Here is a 15666-nt window from a genome sequence, read left to right as displayed (position 1 = left end):
GACAGAGTTTCACTTCGTTGCTCAGGCTGAGTGCAATGGCGTGATGATAGCCCGCTGCAGCCTTGAAATCCCTGGGTGATCAAGCCATCCTCCTGACTCAGCCTCCTGAGTAGCTGGGACTATAGGCATAAGCCATTTGAATGGCTAATTAAAAATTGTTTTTTTGGTAGAGATGGGAGTCTCACTTTCTTGCTCTGGCTGGTCTTGAACTCCTGGCCTCAGGTGATCCACCTGCCTTGGTCTCCCAAAGTGTTGGGATTGCAGGTGTGAGCCACCTTGCCTGGCTCCCCCTAATAATTTTTAAGGCTACCATGGGCCAAGCACTCTGCTGGGTACAGCGATACAGATACTGTAGCTCCCCCTTATCTGAGGGGGACATATTCCAAGACCCCAGTAGATGCCTGAAACCTGGGATAGTATTGAACTCTATGTTTTTTCTCATACCTATGATAAAGTCTAATTTATATAATAGGTGCAGTAACTAATAGAACAGTTATGACAATGTAATAAAGGTTACATGAATGTGGTCTCTCTTTTTCAAAATATCTGATTGTACTGTACTCACCCTTCTTGTGATGATGTGAGATGATAAACTGCCTTCCTGATGAGGTAAGGTGAATGACAGCATTGTGATATAGCCTTAGGCCACTATTGATGATAAGTCAGAAGGAGAATCATCTGCTTTAGGTGATCTCAGATCATTGAGCCACGACAATGTTGAGCAGATGTTGATGACTAAAGGGCAGGTAGCATATACAGCATGGATAGGCTGGGCAAAAGGATGATTCACATCCTGAGCGGGATGGCTAGAGATTTCATCACGCTATTCACAACAGTGTGAAACTTAAAACTTATGAATTGTTGGCCAGGTGCCGTGGCTCACGCCTGTAATCCCAGCACTTTGGGATACCGAGGTGGGTGGATCATCTGAGGTCAGGAGTTCGAGACCAGCTTGGCCAACATGGCGAAACCCCATCGCTACTAAAAATAAAAAAATTAGCCAGGTGTGGTGGCGGGCACCTGTAATCCTAGCTACCCAAGAGGCTGAGGCAGGGAGAATCGCTTGAATCCGGGAGGCAGAGGTTGCAGTGAGCCAAGATTACGCCATTGCACTCCAGCCTGGGCAAAGAGCGAGACTCTTGTCTCAAAAAACAAACACACAAAAAGTATGAATTGTTTATTTCTGGAATTTTCCATTTATTTTCAGACATTGGATAACTCTGGATAATGAGAGACTATTGTACATGAAACAGACTTTGTCTTCAAATTGCTTTACTCAGACTCATTTGAGAAAAGACAAACCAAACAATAAAGATTTATAGTGTGCTGCACAATCCCTTCATTATGGCAGCAGAGGAGAGACCCCTAACTAATCACGAGGTTGTAGGATTGTGGGGGTAGGGGCTGGATAAGGGAAGCTGTGGTATAGTAGGGTGGCTAAGAGCATTCTTATGCACTAGGGTCAGACCTAAGTTTGAATTTCATTTCTACTATTTACTATTTATATATGACCTCCCATGAGTTACATCTTGGCCTCCCCCATCTGTAGAAACATAACAATACCTACCTCATCACTGAATTTAGAGTATTAGGCAAGACAATGCATGCGAAGTGTTTTGCACAGTGATTAGAATATAGTGTGTGTTTAGTAAATGCTAGTTAGCTTTTGTTTTCTAGAGGAGAAAAATCCTTCAGCTCAATTCTAAAGGATGAGAGAAGTTAGTCAAGCAAAGAAGGAAGTGGAAGATTTTCTAGGTAGAGGGAATAAATGTGTTCCAAAACACTAAGGCGTGAAACTGCCTGGCATGTTTGGGATGCAGGTGGGACTTAATGTTTGAGGTGGATTACAGAACTTGAATATGGAGAAAAGGGGGTAAAAGAGGAATATAAGATGTCTCTCAGGTTTCTGTCTTTGGTGGATAATGGTGCCATAAGGAATGTAGGAAGACAGACAATTTTGGGGGAAATGTAAGTTTATTTTAGGATTTTGAGTTTAGGTTTCTTGTGGGACACCCAGGTTAAACATTCAGTAGACACTTTGATTTTTAAATCTTGAGATACAGTAAGAAATCTGAGTTGGAGATACAGATTTGAGAATTGAGTTTATGGATGATAAAGCCGTGGTTATGGATAAAAATGATCACTTTCCATAGTTTGTACAGAAAGTGAAAAAAGAAGTAGAACAAGAGTGGAACCACTGTTTTAGGGGAGCTAAAGAGAACCCCTCAAACTTCCCTCAGGAAACTGAGGAAGTGTGATAAGTGAGTTTTGAGGCTGTTCCTTGATTAACATTCTCTTGCCTTTGTTTATTCTGGAGAGAACACTGGGTAAAACATTACAAGATTTATCACTGCTGCAAATTTGAGCCACATATGTCCCTTACAAACAAGATGGAAGCAAATAACACATTGTGTTAGACACTTGTTTTACCTTCTGTTACTGACTGAGACAGGGTCTCATTCTGTTGCCCAGGCTGGAGTGCAGTGGTGCGATCACGGCTCACTGCAGCCTCAACCTCCCAAGGCTCAGGTGATCCTTCTACCTCAGCCTCCCAAGTTACTGGGACTACATGCGTGTGCCACCCTGCCCAGCTAATTTTTGTATTTCTTGTAGAGATGGAGTTTTGCCATGTTGCCCAGGCTGGTCTTGAACTCTTGGGCTCAAGCAGTCCACCTGCCTTGGCTTCCCAAAGTGCTAGGATTACAGGCATGAGCTGAGCCACCGCTCAGGCCTACCTTCTGTTATTCAATTACTGCCATTTGAAGTAGGTTGTGTTGTCCTCCATTTATAGGTGAGGACATTTTAATTTCAGAGGCTTTAGTTAACTTGCCCAAGGTCAGTAACTGGAAGAGCAGGATTTTTAAATGAGGGACTTAAGAATCAGGTATTTTTTTCACTTATGCCATGATTATGTTAGAGGTATTTGAGCAGAACCCTGAAGGAGTGGATGGATTTGAACAGGTAGCAGTGGGAATAGAAAGTAGGGAATATGATAAGAGGAGAGTAGTTGAATAAGGCCATAGAGGTCTTTGAGTGCATGCCAAAGAATTTATGACTTTTTAACATAAGCAGTGAGGAAGTCACAGAAGGATATATGTTATATTATTAATTGTTTAACTCTTATATAAAATAATACATTTATTGTCGGAACTGCAGAAAACAAAGGAAAAAGTTCAAACCAGGAAATAAATTGCCCATAATCCAACTATCCAGAGATAACTTTTCTTGCCATTTAGGAGTATATCCTTTGAGAGATTTTTTCCCCCCTCCTTTGTCTTTTTGTGTATATATGTGTGGATGGAAGGGGGAGCTTTTTTTTTTTTTTACATATTTTATAAAATTAGGATTATACTACAGTATGTACTGGTTTGTAATCTGTTTTTTAAGCCTAATAGTATATGTTGAACATTTTTCTATGTCATCTAAGTGTTAGGAAGATTAAATTAGCAGTGTGTAGGGTAGGTTTGGGGAGTCTAAAAATAGGATCATTTAGAAGACTATTGCAGTAATTCAGATAAGAATGTAATGAACATCTGAACTAGGGTTATGTCAGTGAGCCTAAGAGAAATTGCTAAACTAAGTGCAATACATTTGGCAGTTCATGGGATTATGGTATGTTCAAAGATGAACCTGGGTATGGTGGCAAGTGCCTGTAGTCCCAGCTACTCAGGAAGCTGAGACAGGAGGATCACTTGAGTCTGGGAGTTTGAAGCTATAGTGTGCTATAATTGTGCCTGTGAATAACCACTTTTCACCAGTCTGAGCAGCATAGGGAGACCCCATCTTTAAAAACAAAACAAAAGATGAAACTAAGGTTTCCTACCAGGAGGCCTAGAGTGATGTCAGTAGCAGAAATAGAAGAGATAAGATCACTTCAGCTTTGAACAACATGAGTTTAAGATATCCATGGGACATTTAGGTGGAGATGATCTGTAATAATAGCAGCTACTATTTATTGAAAACTTGTTATATGATAGATATTGTCCTAAGTTCTTGATGTAATTACTTAATCCTTACAACATTCTGTGAGGCAGGTATTATCTGTATTTTATTGGTGAAGAAACATCAGAAAAGAAGTAATTAATACTTATGCATTCTGTGAGACAGGTATTAATCTGTATTTTATTGGTGAAGAAACATTCAGAAAAGAAGTAACTTGTCATGGTCTGACGTTAAGCCATTTCTGTCAGGCACAAAAAAGCTCCTTCCTCTAACTTGTAAATGTGGGACTAGAATTTCTGAAAAGGCCTGGTTTTGCAGGCAAGTAGAATAAAGGCAATTGCTGGAACTATAGAAGTAGCTAAGAATGCCACTTGAAATAGTATAGGTTACCCTGATTTGATTATATGAATATATCAAATTATCACAATACCATGAAAATATGATTATGAATCAATAAAAAATAATTTCAAAAATAATGTAGGTAATGAAGAAGTGCTATGAATAGAATCTTAGATCCTGTGGCCATTGTGGGAGTGAAAGAGGAAGAACTTTCAGAAAGGAGAAAGAAGGAGGCTTGAGATAGGAAGGAGAACTGAAGGGACCTGGAAACCAAAGGGGAGTCGAAGATCTACATTGTATCGGGCACTTGACCTATTATCTCAGTTAGTTCTCATTGTTACCCTGTAGCAGTGATTCTCAACTGGCATTATCTTTTCCTAGGAGACATCTGGCAGTGTCTGGAGACATTTTTGGTTGTCACAAATCAAAGGGGTTGCTACTGACTTTTAGTGGGTATAGTCCAGGGATTTGTTAAACATCCTATAATGCCTGAGACAGCCCTCCTAGCAAAGAATGATTTGGCCTAACATGTCAGTAGTGACAATGTTGAGAAACCCTGCCCTGTGGTATATTATATTAAGTCCATTTTATAAATGAGGAAACAAGGAAAGTTAAGTGACTCAGTCATATAGCAAGTAAATGGCAAAACTGGGATTTCAACCCAGGTCAGAATAAGAAGTTTGGGTTCTTTCCACTTTACTATGTTGCTACTTGGATCCCAGTACTTGGGGAGGCTGAGGCAGGAGGATCTCTTGAAGCCACGAGTTTGAAACCAGCCTGGGCAACATAGTAAGACCCCCATCTCGGGCTGGGCGCAGTGGCTAACACCTGTAATCCCAGCACTTTGGGAGGCTGAGGCGGGCGGATCACAAGGTCAGGAGATTGAGACCATCCTGGCTAACATGGTGAAACCACATCTCTACTAAAAAATACAAAAAGTTAGCCGGGCGCATTGGCGGGCGCCTGTAGTCCCACCTACTCGGGAGGCTGAGGCAGGAGAATTGCTTGAACCTGGGAGGTGCAGGTTGCAGTGAGCCGATATCATGCCACTGCACTCCAGCCTGGGCGACAGAGCGAGACTCCATCTCAAAAAAAAAAAAAAGTCTCTACAAAAAAAAAAAAAAAATTTCATGAAGAGAAGGGATGAGTACTATTATTTGATGGAGTAATAAGGTCAAAGAAGTTTTCTTTGACAGAGAGTTGAGTATGTTCTTCAGAAAAGGGGGCACTGAACTGAAAAGAAGGTAATTAGTGGAGCAGTATCCCAGATCATGCTTTTCCAGGTTCATCCAATCATAACTCTCTACCTCTTCTATTCTTCTATTGAAACCAGTAAGAGTAAATGTCATGTAAGAAGACCCTAGGACATTTTGGAGAGAAAGGTAATGATTATAGATTTTTTCCTAAAATTATTAAAACTATATGGTAAACAAAAAAGAAAACAGGAATATAAATTTGCTTTGATAAGAAATTAATATTTGATAAGCCAGGAATAATATATTAACAGAGATTTTTAGAGTTAAGACAAACCTGGGTACAGGTATGATTTCTGCACTTCACTAGGTTATTTTATTTTTTATTTTTGGAGACGGAGCCTTGCTCTGTCACCCAGGCTGGAGTGCAGTGGTGTGGTGTTGGCTCATTGCAACCCCCGCCTCCCAGGTGCAAGCAATTCTTTTGCCTCAGCCTCCCGAGTAGCTGGGACTACAGGCATAAGCCACCATACCCGACTAATTTTTTGTATTTTTAGTAGAGATGGGGTTTCACCATGTTGGCCAGGCTGGTCTCGAACTCCTGAGCTCAAGTGGTCTGCCTGCCTCAGCCTGCCAAGGTAATAGGATTACAGGAGTGAGCTACTGCGCCCATCCCACACTATTTTGTTTTGTGTTTGTGAGACACAGTCTTGCTCTGTCACCCAGGCTGGAGTGTAATGGCACAATCTGGGTTCACTGCAACTTCCGCCTCCCAGGTTCAAGCGATTCTCCTGCCTCAGCCTCCCGAGTAACTGGGATTACAGGCACCCTCCCCCCACCACGCCCAGCTAATTTTTGTATTTTTATTAGGGATGGGGTTTCACCGTGTTGGCCAGGCTGATCTGGAACTCCTGGCCTCAAGTGATCTGCAGGGTTTCACCATGTTAGCCAGACTGGTCTCGAACTCCTGGCCTGAAGTGATCAGCCCACCTCTGCCTCCCAAAGTGTTGGGATTACAGGCGTGAGCCACCGTGCCTGGATCCACACTATGTTATTTTGACCACCACACAACACTCCACCAGCCTTGGTCTCCTTATTTACAAATTGAAGGTACAGGTCTTACCGTCTTTTTTGTTTTTTAGAATTAAATGAGATAGTCTAGCACAGTGCCTGGCATATAGTAGGTGTTCCTTTACTCTTGAGACTGTGGAAGGCAGATTATAGTAGGACTATGAAAGAAATAGATATTTTAAAATAGGTTGCATTTGCATATTTACAATTTTAAAAGAAGATAAAGAATAGAAGGCAGTCTGCATGGTGGAAAATAACACAATATAAATAGAAAAGATTTTGTCAAATTATTTAAGTAACTAATATGCATTTTTATATGAGCACATATAAAGGGTTAACATATGGGAATGGAAGATGGCCAGATTCTTCTGCTTCCCAGAAGAATCTAAGTTGAAACCTGAAGAAAGAACTAGACTTAAGCAGAGAAAAACTGAATGAGAGAGGTTTGGGAAAGTATACCAAACGTAGGGTGAAGATTCTATGCAGATGCCTGAAGACAGCTGTTAAGGGAAACTACCAGTGACTTAGGACACTGAGTGCTGAGTTAAGATGTGGAGGGAACAACTGATTGGGAGAGGTAAACTGGAACCCGGTCTTTATATGACTTTTTGAGGAGTTCAGATTTTATCCTGTGAGCATTGAGAAGGTTTTAGGCAAAGGAATAATTGGTTAGATTTATATTTTTGGTCACTTATGCTGCAGTGTGGGGAGTAGATTAAAGGGGGCAAATCAGGAGGCAGTATAGAAATCAGGAGGGTATAATAAGTAGTACACATGTAATTAATTTGATGTGGATAGTGAATCAAGGATGATTCCAAGGTTTCTGGAGTTACATTCCAACTCTAAAAATTATTAAAGTAACAAAAATAATAAAAGTTACCATTAGGGCTCTGGGGAAAGAGAAGAGATATAATCATGATATTGCTGGTAGCAGTATAAATTAATCTGGTCATCTTGGAGAGCTTTCTAGCGACATGCAGTGGAAGCTATAATAATGCTAATGCCTTTTTGACTCATTGATCTTACTTTGGAATACGATTCAAGAAATTCAAGAAAAGTGGCTGTAAATCGTGCATTATTTGTCCAGAGGTTTTTTTTGTTTTTTGTTTTTTTTTTTGAGATGGAGTCTCACTCTATTGCCCAGGCTGGAGTGCAGTGGCGCAGTCTCAGCTCACTGCATCCTCTATGTCCTGGGTTCAAGTGATTCTCCTTTTTTTTTTTTTTGAGACGGAGTTTCGGTCTTGTGCCCAGGCTGGAGTGTAATGGTGCGATCTTGGCTCACCGCAACCTCTGTCGCCCAGGTTCAAGCGATTCTCCTGCCTCAGCCTTCTGAGTAGCTGGGATTACAGACATGTGCCACCATACCCAGTTAATTTTTTGGTATTATTTTTAGTAGAGACAGGGTTGCACCATGTCAGCCAGGCTGGTCTTGAACTCCTGACCTCAAATGATCTGCTGGCCTTGGCCTCCCAAAGTGGTGGGATTATAGGGGTGAGCCACCACACCCAGCCTTGTTTTTTTTTTTTTTTTAATTTTTATTTTTGTTTTTGTTTTTGTTTTTTTTTTTGAGACAGAGTCTCGCTCTGTTGCCTAGGTTGGAGTGCAGTGGTGTGATCTCAGCTCACTGCAACGTCTGCCTCCTGGGTTCAAGCGATTCTTTTGCCTCAGCCTCCCAAGTAGCTGGGACTACAGGCACACGCCACCACATCCAGCTAATTTTTTGTATTTTTAGTAGAGATGGGGTTTCACCATGTTGGCCAGGCTGGTCTCGAACTCCTGACCTCAGGTGATCCGCCCGCTTTGGCCTCCCAAAGTGCTGGGATTACAGGTGTGAGCCAGCACGCCTGGCCTTTGTTTTGTTTTTTTGAGACAGAATCTCACTCTGTATCCCAGATTGGAGTGCAGTGGCATGATCTTAGGCTCACTGCTACCTTCACCTCCCGAGTTCAAGCGATTCTCCTGCCTCAGCCTCCCAAGTTGCTGGGACTACAGGTGTGCACCACCACGCCCGGCTAATTTTTGTATTTTTAGTAGAGATGGGGTTTCACCATGTTGGCCAGGCTGGTCGTGAACTCCTGACCTCAAGTAATCTGCCCGCCTTGGCCTACCAAACTGCTGGAATTACAGGCATGAGCCACCATGCCAGGCCTGTCCAAAGAGATTTTATATTGGTACTATTTATTACAGAAAAATTGGAAACAACCTAAATGTTCTAACGCAGAGGATTAGTTAAGCTTTTTTTTTTTTTTTTTTTTTTGAGACAGAGTCTCGCTCTGTCAGCCAGGATGGAGTGCAGTGGCACGATCTCGGCTCACTGCAACCTCCGCCTCCTGGGTTCAAGCAGTTCTCCTGCCTCAGCCTCCCAAGTAGCTGGGACTACAGGCATGTGCCACCACACCCGGCTAATTTTTTGTATTATTAGTAAAGACCGGGTTTCACCATATTAGCCAGGATGGTCTGGATCTCCTGACCTCGTGATCCATCTACCTCAGCCTCCCAAAGTGCTGGGATTACAGGCGTGAGCCATCATGCCCGGCCCTAGTTAAGCAGTTTTTAAAAATATATCAATAGGGTATGGGCCTGGTGGCTCATTCGTGTAATCCCAGCACTTTGGGAGGCTAGGATGGGAGGATCACTTGAGCCCAGGAGTTCAAGACCAGCCTGGGCAATATGGCAAAACCCTGTCTCTGCAAAAAAATACAGAAATTAGCCGGGCATAGTGGCACATGCCAATGGTCCCATCATTCAAGAGGCTGAGGTAGGAGGATCGCTTCATTCAGCTCAGGAATTCAAGGCTGCACTGAGCCATGATTGTGTCACTGCACCCCAGCCTAGGGAACAGAGTGAGACCCCATCACTACAAAAAGTTTAAAAAACTAGCCAGGAGTGGTGATGGGTGCCTATATAGTCCTAACTACTCTAGAAGTGGAGGCAGGAGGATCACTTGAGCCCAGGAGTTCAAGGCTGCAATGAGCCATGATTGCACCACTGTACTCCATCTGGGCAACAGATGAATCAGGAGTTCAAGTAAGACCCTGTCTAAAGAAGAAAAGAAAAAAATTGTTTGTACATAGATGATGATTTAATAGGGTTGAGAGACGCAACACTGATGTGTCAATCTGTGCTTACAGCAGACAGAGAATAAGGAATAAGGAAAGGGAAGGATAATTAGGTCCTAGCCATAGGGGAGAAGACTATTAGAAAAGTTATGTTTTAAAAGGAAAAATGTGGGAATAGAGGATAGCTTCTCTGTTTTCATTACCTGGCAGACCCCAGAAATGGCTTAATATTGGCTTATTTACATATAGTCTACAGTTAAGTTGCAGTTAGCTGCTGTATTAGGCCGTTCTTGTGTTGCTATAATTACCTGAGACTGGGTAATTTATAAGAAAAGTGGTTTAATTGGCTCATGGTTCTGTAGGCTGTACAGGAAGCATGGCATCTGCTTCTGGGGTGGCCTCAGGAAGCTTCCAATCATGATGAAAGGCAAAGAGGGGACAGGTGTCTTATGCATAGTGGGAGCAGGAGGAATAAAGAGGGGTAGGTGTCATACTTTTAAAGAACCAGATCTTGTGTGAACTCAGACCAATAACTCACTTATCATCAAGGGGATGGCAACCAAGTCATTCATGAGAGATCTACCCCCATGATCCAAACACCTCCCACCAGGCCCCACCTCCAAAGTTGGGGATTATATTTCAATATGAAACTTAGAGGGGACACATAAACTATATCAGCTGCTAAGAGATTTCATTTCCTTTAAGTGCACTTATGGCTGAAATTTTCCATAATAACTGTAGATAACTCAACATGTTTAAGTAGATTTTAGTTTGGTATTTGATTAAAAGTTCATAAAATGGAACAAGAGGAAATTAGTTATTAGCAAGAATGTTGAAGAAAAGTTGGAATTAAAAAAAAATCTCAGGCGGGTGCAGTGGCTCACGCCTGTAATCCCAGCACTTTGGGAGTCTGAGGTGGGTGGATCACCTGAGGTCAGGAGTTCAAGACCAGCCTGACCAATATGGTGGAACCCCCATCTCTACTAAAATTATAAAAATTACCTTGGTGTGGTGGTATGCACATGTAGTCCCAGCTACTTGGGAGGCTGAGGCAGGAGAATCGCTTGAACCCGGGAGGCGGAGGTTGCAATGAGCTGAGATCGCGCCACTGCACTCCAGCCTGGGCGACAGAGCAAGACTCCTCTCAGAAAAAAAAAGAAAAGAAAAGAAAAGTAGATTCCTGTTAATTACTAAGGAAAATAAATTCTGCTGGGCATGGTAGCTCCTGCGTGTAATCCCAGCTCTTTGGGAGGCCAGGGTGGGAGGATTGCTTGAGGCCAGGAGTTCAAGATCAGCCTGAGCAACATGGTGAGACCCTGTCTCTACAAAAAATAAAAATAAATAAAAATAATTGCGTGGTGGCACATGTCTGTAGTCCCAGCTACTTGGGAGGCTGAGGCAGAAGGATCACTTGAGCCCAGGAGTTAAAAGTTGGGGCATCAGAAATTTTAGACACTTAAGCTGATTTCTTTGATGTATTTAACAACATACATCCAGAAAAGTGGATCATTTGGGTGCTGAGGGAACATCTAGAATCTGCTTTAGTCATAATTTTTTTTTAGATGGAATTATTTTGATCTAGAATATTAACAGTGGAGAAAAAGCTAATATAAATGGGATGGTTTTGAGACAGGCAATGAAGGTTAAGGAAAAACAATCTGTAGATAAGTTAGATTTCCAAGGCATTTGTTGAAATGAATGGCTAAAGTAGCTTGAGATGAAGGGGTGATAGATGGGAGAAAGGAGGAGGTTGCTGGAATGACAAGTTTTTGGTGAAGTATTACTCCTTGGTTTATTGGCAGTAGAAGGGACATAAGGGTGGTGCAGGTCAGCCATTTGGATAATATTTGCTGTATGTGATCCTTGCAGAAGGCGAACTAGAGCTAAGGGGCCAGGCCAGGCATGTTGGCTCATGCCTGTAATCCCAGCACTTTGGGAGGCTGAGGCAGGCAGAGCACTTGAGCCCAGGAGTTTGAGACCAGCCTGAGCAACATAGTAAGATCCTGTCTCTACAAAAATATTAGGTGGTGTGCACCTGTAGTCCCAGCTGTTTGGGAGGTTGAGGCAGGAAGATCACTAGAGCCCAGGGAGATTGAGGCTGCAGTGAGCTATGATTGTGCCACTGCACTCCAGCCTGGGTGACAGTGTGTGACCTTTCTTAAAAAAAAAAAAAAAGAAAAAGAAAAAGAAAAAAAGAGATAGGGCCCTAGTAAAGATGAAGTGGTTAATCATCTTTATTAGGGGAAAGTTTCTGGCTGTGTGACTGGAGATGATATTTGCAAATACACTCGTATTTGGTAATGGTTTGAATGGATTGAGTCCACTGTTGTCAGATGACCAGGAGAGTCTAAAGGGGCAATTCTGGACTTGGAGAGAAGTCCATGATAGCATTAATGTACTTCACTGTTCACAAAGATGTTTCACACTCATTGGTTCACATGATACAACAACCTTATGCAGTAGGAATCATTATCTGCATTTTGCAGGTAAGAAAACTAAGGCTTAAAGGGGTTAATCCAGTGGTTCTCAGTTCACACTACACATTAGAATTATGTGGGAGATCTTTTTAAAAATACTGAGGCCTGAGCCTTACCCCCAGTAGTTGTGTAGTTGTTCTGAGGGTCCAGTATTCATGTTTTTAAAATGATTCAGGTGATTCTAACATATAGCCATGGTTAAGAACCACAGGGTTAAATGTCTGTGCCAGGCCATAGAGCCAATAAAGTAGCAGAGGCAGAACCTGAAACCTGGTCTTTTGTCTCTGAGCCTCATATTTTTCATTTTTTCCCCCCACACTCTGATTTTTCAGGTTTCATTTAAGACCATTACATTATCCCTCAGGAAGCCTGTATCAATTCTGTATCAGTTAGGGTTTATAGGCTACAGAAACCAACTTTGACCAACTTTCTTTTTTTTTTTTTTTTTTTTTTTTTTTTTTTGAGACGGAGTCTTGCTCTGTTGCCAGGCTGTAGTGTGGTAGCGTGATCTCAGCTCACTGCAACCTCCGCCTCCTGGGTTCAAGCAATTCCCCTGCCTCTGCTGAGTAGCTGGGACTACAGGCACATGCCACCATGCCCGGCTAATTTTTTTGTATTTTAGTAGAGATGGGGTTTCACCATGTTGGCCAGGATGATCTTGATCTCCTGACCTGGTGATCTGCCCACCTCGGCCTCCCAAAGTGCTGCGATTACAGGCGTGAGCCACCACGCCTGGCCCTTTTTTTTTTTAAAGGGCTATTTTTGAATAATAGTGGGTATTTCACAGAATTGAACAGAATGAAAAAGAAGGCTAAATAACTAGACTGAACAAAGTTCAAGAACTGGGGCAGCTTTAGGGAATCTAGGAATAGGAATGGAAGGTCATCTCTACAGAACCAATAGGAATCTTAACTCCAGCTGTCTTCTATACCCATTTGTCTGCAAAATTCCAATTCCTGTAGAGAGATTCCATAGGTCACTGCCCCTGGGTCAGGGGTCATGTGGTTAGTAGCCCCAAAAGAACCACACCAAGTTAAGGAGGGGCAGTTCCCCAATGGATGGGATACTGAGCAGACCCAAACAAAAGTTACTCATTACAAAGCCCTTCCTGACAGCCCTCACTGCAAGTCTAGGCTCCCCTGTAGGTACTCCAGTAGCTCTCCAACCCCATTCTTTTTTTTTTTTTTTTGAGACGGAGTTTCGCTCTGTCGCCAGGCTGGAGTGCAGTGGTGCGATCTTGGCTCACTGCAACCTCTGCCTCCCGGGTTCAAATGATTCTCCTGCCTCAGCCTCCCAAGTAGCTGGGACTACAGGCGCACACCACCATACCCAACTAATTTTTCTATTTTTAGTAGCGACAGAGTTTCACCATGTTGGCCAGGATGGTCTCAATTTCTTGACCTTGTGATCCGCCTGCCTTGGCCTCCCAAAGTGCTGGGATTACAGGTGTGAGCCACCGCACCTGGCCCCCATTCTTATATTAAATGCCTATTTCCCACCAAACTATGAGCCAGGAGAAGCCAGAGGCCAAATCTATTCTGTGATATCCCTCAGTGGGCCCTCAAATATCTCAAAAATAGTAAGCCCTCCGTGTTTGGTGAATGGAATTCCAGAAAAATTTTAGGTAGAAATCGCAAACTTGTGGTTCTACTCCTTTTCCAAGGTAGGTGCCCACTACTGCACCTTTGTAAAGCCTGCCACCCTATGTGCTATCTGGACCCTCTGCCATTTCCACTATCCCCTCTTTCATCTCTTCTCTCACCTTGTTAGGTGATTGCTGGCTTCAACCGCCTTCGGCAGGAACAGCGAGGCCTGGCATCCAAAGCAGCTGAGTTGGAGATGGAGTTGAATGAGCACAGGTGAGAAAGTCAGGGAGAGGCAAACAGTAGGACAGTTGTGTGGGCTACTCCGTGAGGGGGATTTGTAGTAGAGTGGGGCTGAATCCTCAGGTCCTGCCTTGTTCTCCTATCCCAGCCTAGTGATCGATACACTGAAGGAGGTAGATGAAACTCGTAAGTGCTACCGCATGGTTGGAGGAGTGCTGGTGGAGCGAACTGTCAAAGAGGTGCTGCCCGCTTTGGAGAACAACAAGGAGCAGGTGAGCAAGAATCATTGAATAGGATCGGGTACAGTGGCTGTAAACCCAGCACTTTGGGAGGCCAAGGCAGGTGGACTCTTTGAGTCCGGGAGTTCGAGACCAGCCTGGGCAACATGGTGAAACCATATCACTACAAAAAATACAAAAGATTAGCTGGGTATGGTGGTATGTGCCTGTAGTCCCAGCTACTCACCTGAGCCTAAAATGTCGAGGCTTCAGTGAGCTGTGATCACCTCACTGCACTCCAGCCTGGGTGACAGAGTGAGACCCTGTCTCAGATAAAAGGAGGGCAGCATAAAATAGCCTATGCTCATTATGCTATGCTAAGTGCAACTCTTAGACAAGAGGAATTGCTGACTGCTGTGGGCTCTGTGACTTGGCTGAATTGGGGTGGGAGGATTGGGGTTAGAGTAATGTTTCTCATAGTGTGTGTTTCACGAATACATGAATCAAAATCACCTGAAGGACTAATTTATAAATGCAGCTTCCCAGACCCACTGGATTAGAACCTTTGGGAGTGCCATGAAGTGACATTTTAAAAATAAGCTAGGCAGGTTGCAGTGACTCACACCTGTAATCCCAGCACTTTGGGAGGCCGAGGCGGGCGGATCACGAGGTCAGGAGGTCAAGACCATCCTGGCTAGCATGGTGAAACCCCATCTCTACTAAGAATACGAAAAATTGGCTGGGCGTTGTGGTGGGCGCCTGTGGTCCTAGCTACTCGGGAGGGCAAGGCAGGAGAATGGCGTGAACCTGCGAGGCGGAGCTTGCAGTGAGCTGAGATTGCACCACTGCACTCCAGCCTGGGCGACACAGCGATGCTGCAACTCAAAAAAAAAATATTAAAAATAAAAAATGAAAAAATAAAAATAAGCTCATGCCTGTATTCCTAGCGCTTTGGGAGACCGAGGCAGGAGGACTGCTTGAGGCAGAAGTTTGAGACCAGCCTGGGTAACATAGTAGGAACTTGTCTCTGTAAAAAATAAAAATAAGCAGCCCAGGTGATTCTAAGTACATTAAAGTGTATAAACCACTGTGTTCAAGAAAGGAATAATTTTAATGTCTGGGCTCCTCTACTTGGTTAAAGGTAAGGTTAAATGTGTTAACACTTCCTCCAACCATAGTCCATTCCAGGTGGGGGAAAGGAGTCCTGAATTCCTTATATAATCCCTGTCACTTGTCCTCTAGATACAGAAGATCATTGAGACACTGACACAGCAGCTTCAGGCAAAGGGAAAAGAACTAAATGAATTCCGGGAAAAGCACAACATTCGTCTCATGGGAGAAGATGAGAAGCCAGCAGCCAAGGAAAACTCAGAAGGGGCTGGGGCTAAGGCCAGCTCAGCTGGAGTGTTGGTCTCCTAGGGACCAAGGCCTTTGCATTTTTTTCTACCCTGACTCCCACTTCTAATTTCTCTTTATTGTTATTATTATTATTTTCTCTGCTATTGTAATATTTTTTTGTTAATTAAATGTTTTGGTCAGAA

At 43.2% G+C, this 15666-nt stretch overlaps 1 protein-coding gene across 2 annotated transcripts in view, besides 1 other annotated feature; it reads left to right on the top strand.

Moving 5' to 3' along the window:
* PFDN2 (prefoldin subunit 2) overlaps window positions 1-15666 on the top strand; it is a 17477-nt gene extending 1811 nt beyond the window's left edge. Inside the window, exons 2-5 of one of the 2 annotated variants that reach the window (XM_011509624.4) lie at window positions 5615-5663; window positions 13852-13940; window positions 14056-14179; window positions 15368-15666. In XM_011509624.4, the coding sequence (XP_011507926.1) occupies window positions 13921-13940; window positions 14056-14179; window positions 15368-15544 (321 nt within the window). In that variant the 5' untranslated portion in view covers window positions 5615-5663; window positions 13852-13920 and the 3' untranslated portion in view covers window positions 15545-15666. The remainder of the gene's footprint in view (window positions 1-5614; window positions 5664-13851; window positions 13941-14055; window positions 14180-15367) is intronic. The other variant, NM_012394.4, reaches the window with a different exon arrangement.
* Window positions 3641-3870: an enhancer, noted in NCBI's record as "active region_1976". NCBI's record gives its function as "activates an Ori minimal core promoter by ATAC-STARR-seq in GM12878 lymphoblastoid cells {active_cell/tissue: GM12878}" and the evidence as "EXISTENCE:reporter gene assay evidence [ECO:0000049][PMID:35858748]".

Source organism: Homo sapiens, chromosome 1 (assembly GCF_000001405.40).
Source record: "Homo sapiens chromosome 1, GRCh38.p14 Primary Assembly".
In the NCBI taxonomy this organism is placed as follows: domain Eukaryota; kingdom Metazoa; phylum Chordata; class Mammalia; order Primates; family Hominidae; genus Homo; species Homo sapiens.
Note: the sequence above shows the minus strand (reverse complement) of the source record. Positions and strands in the feature narration are given on the sequence as shown.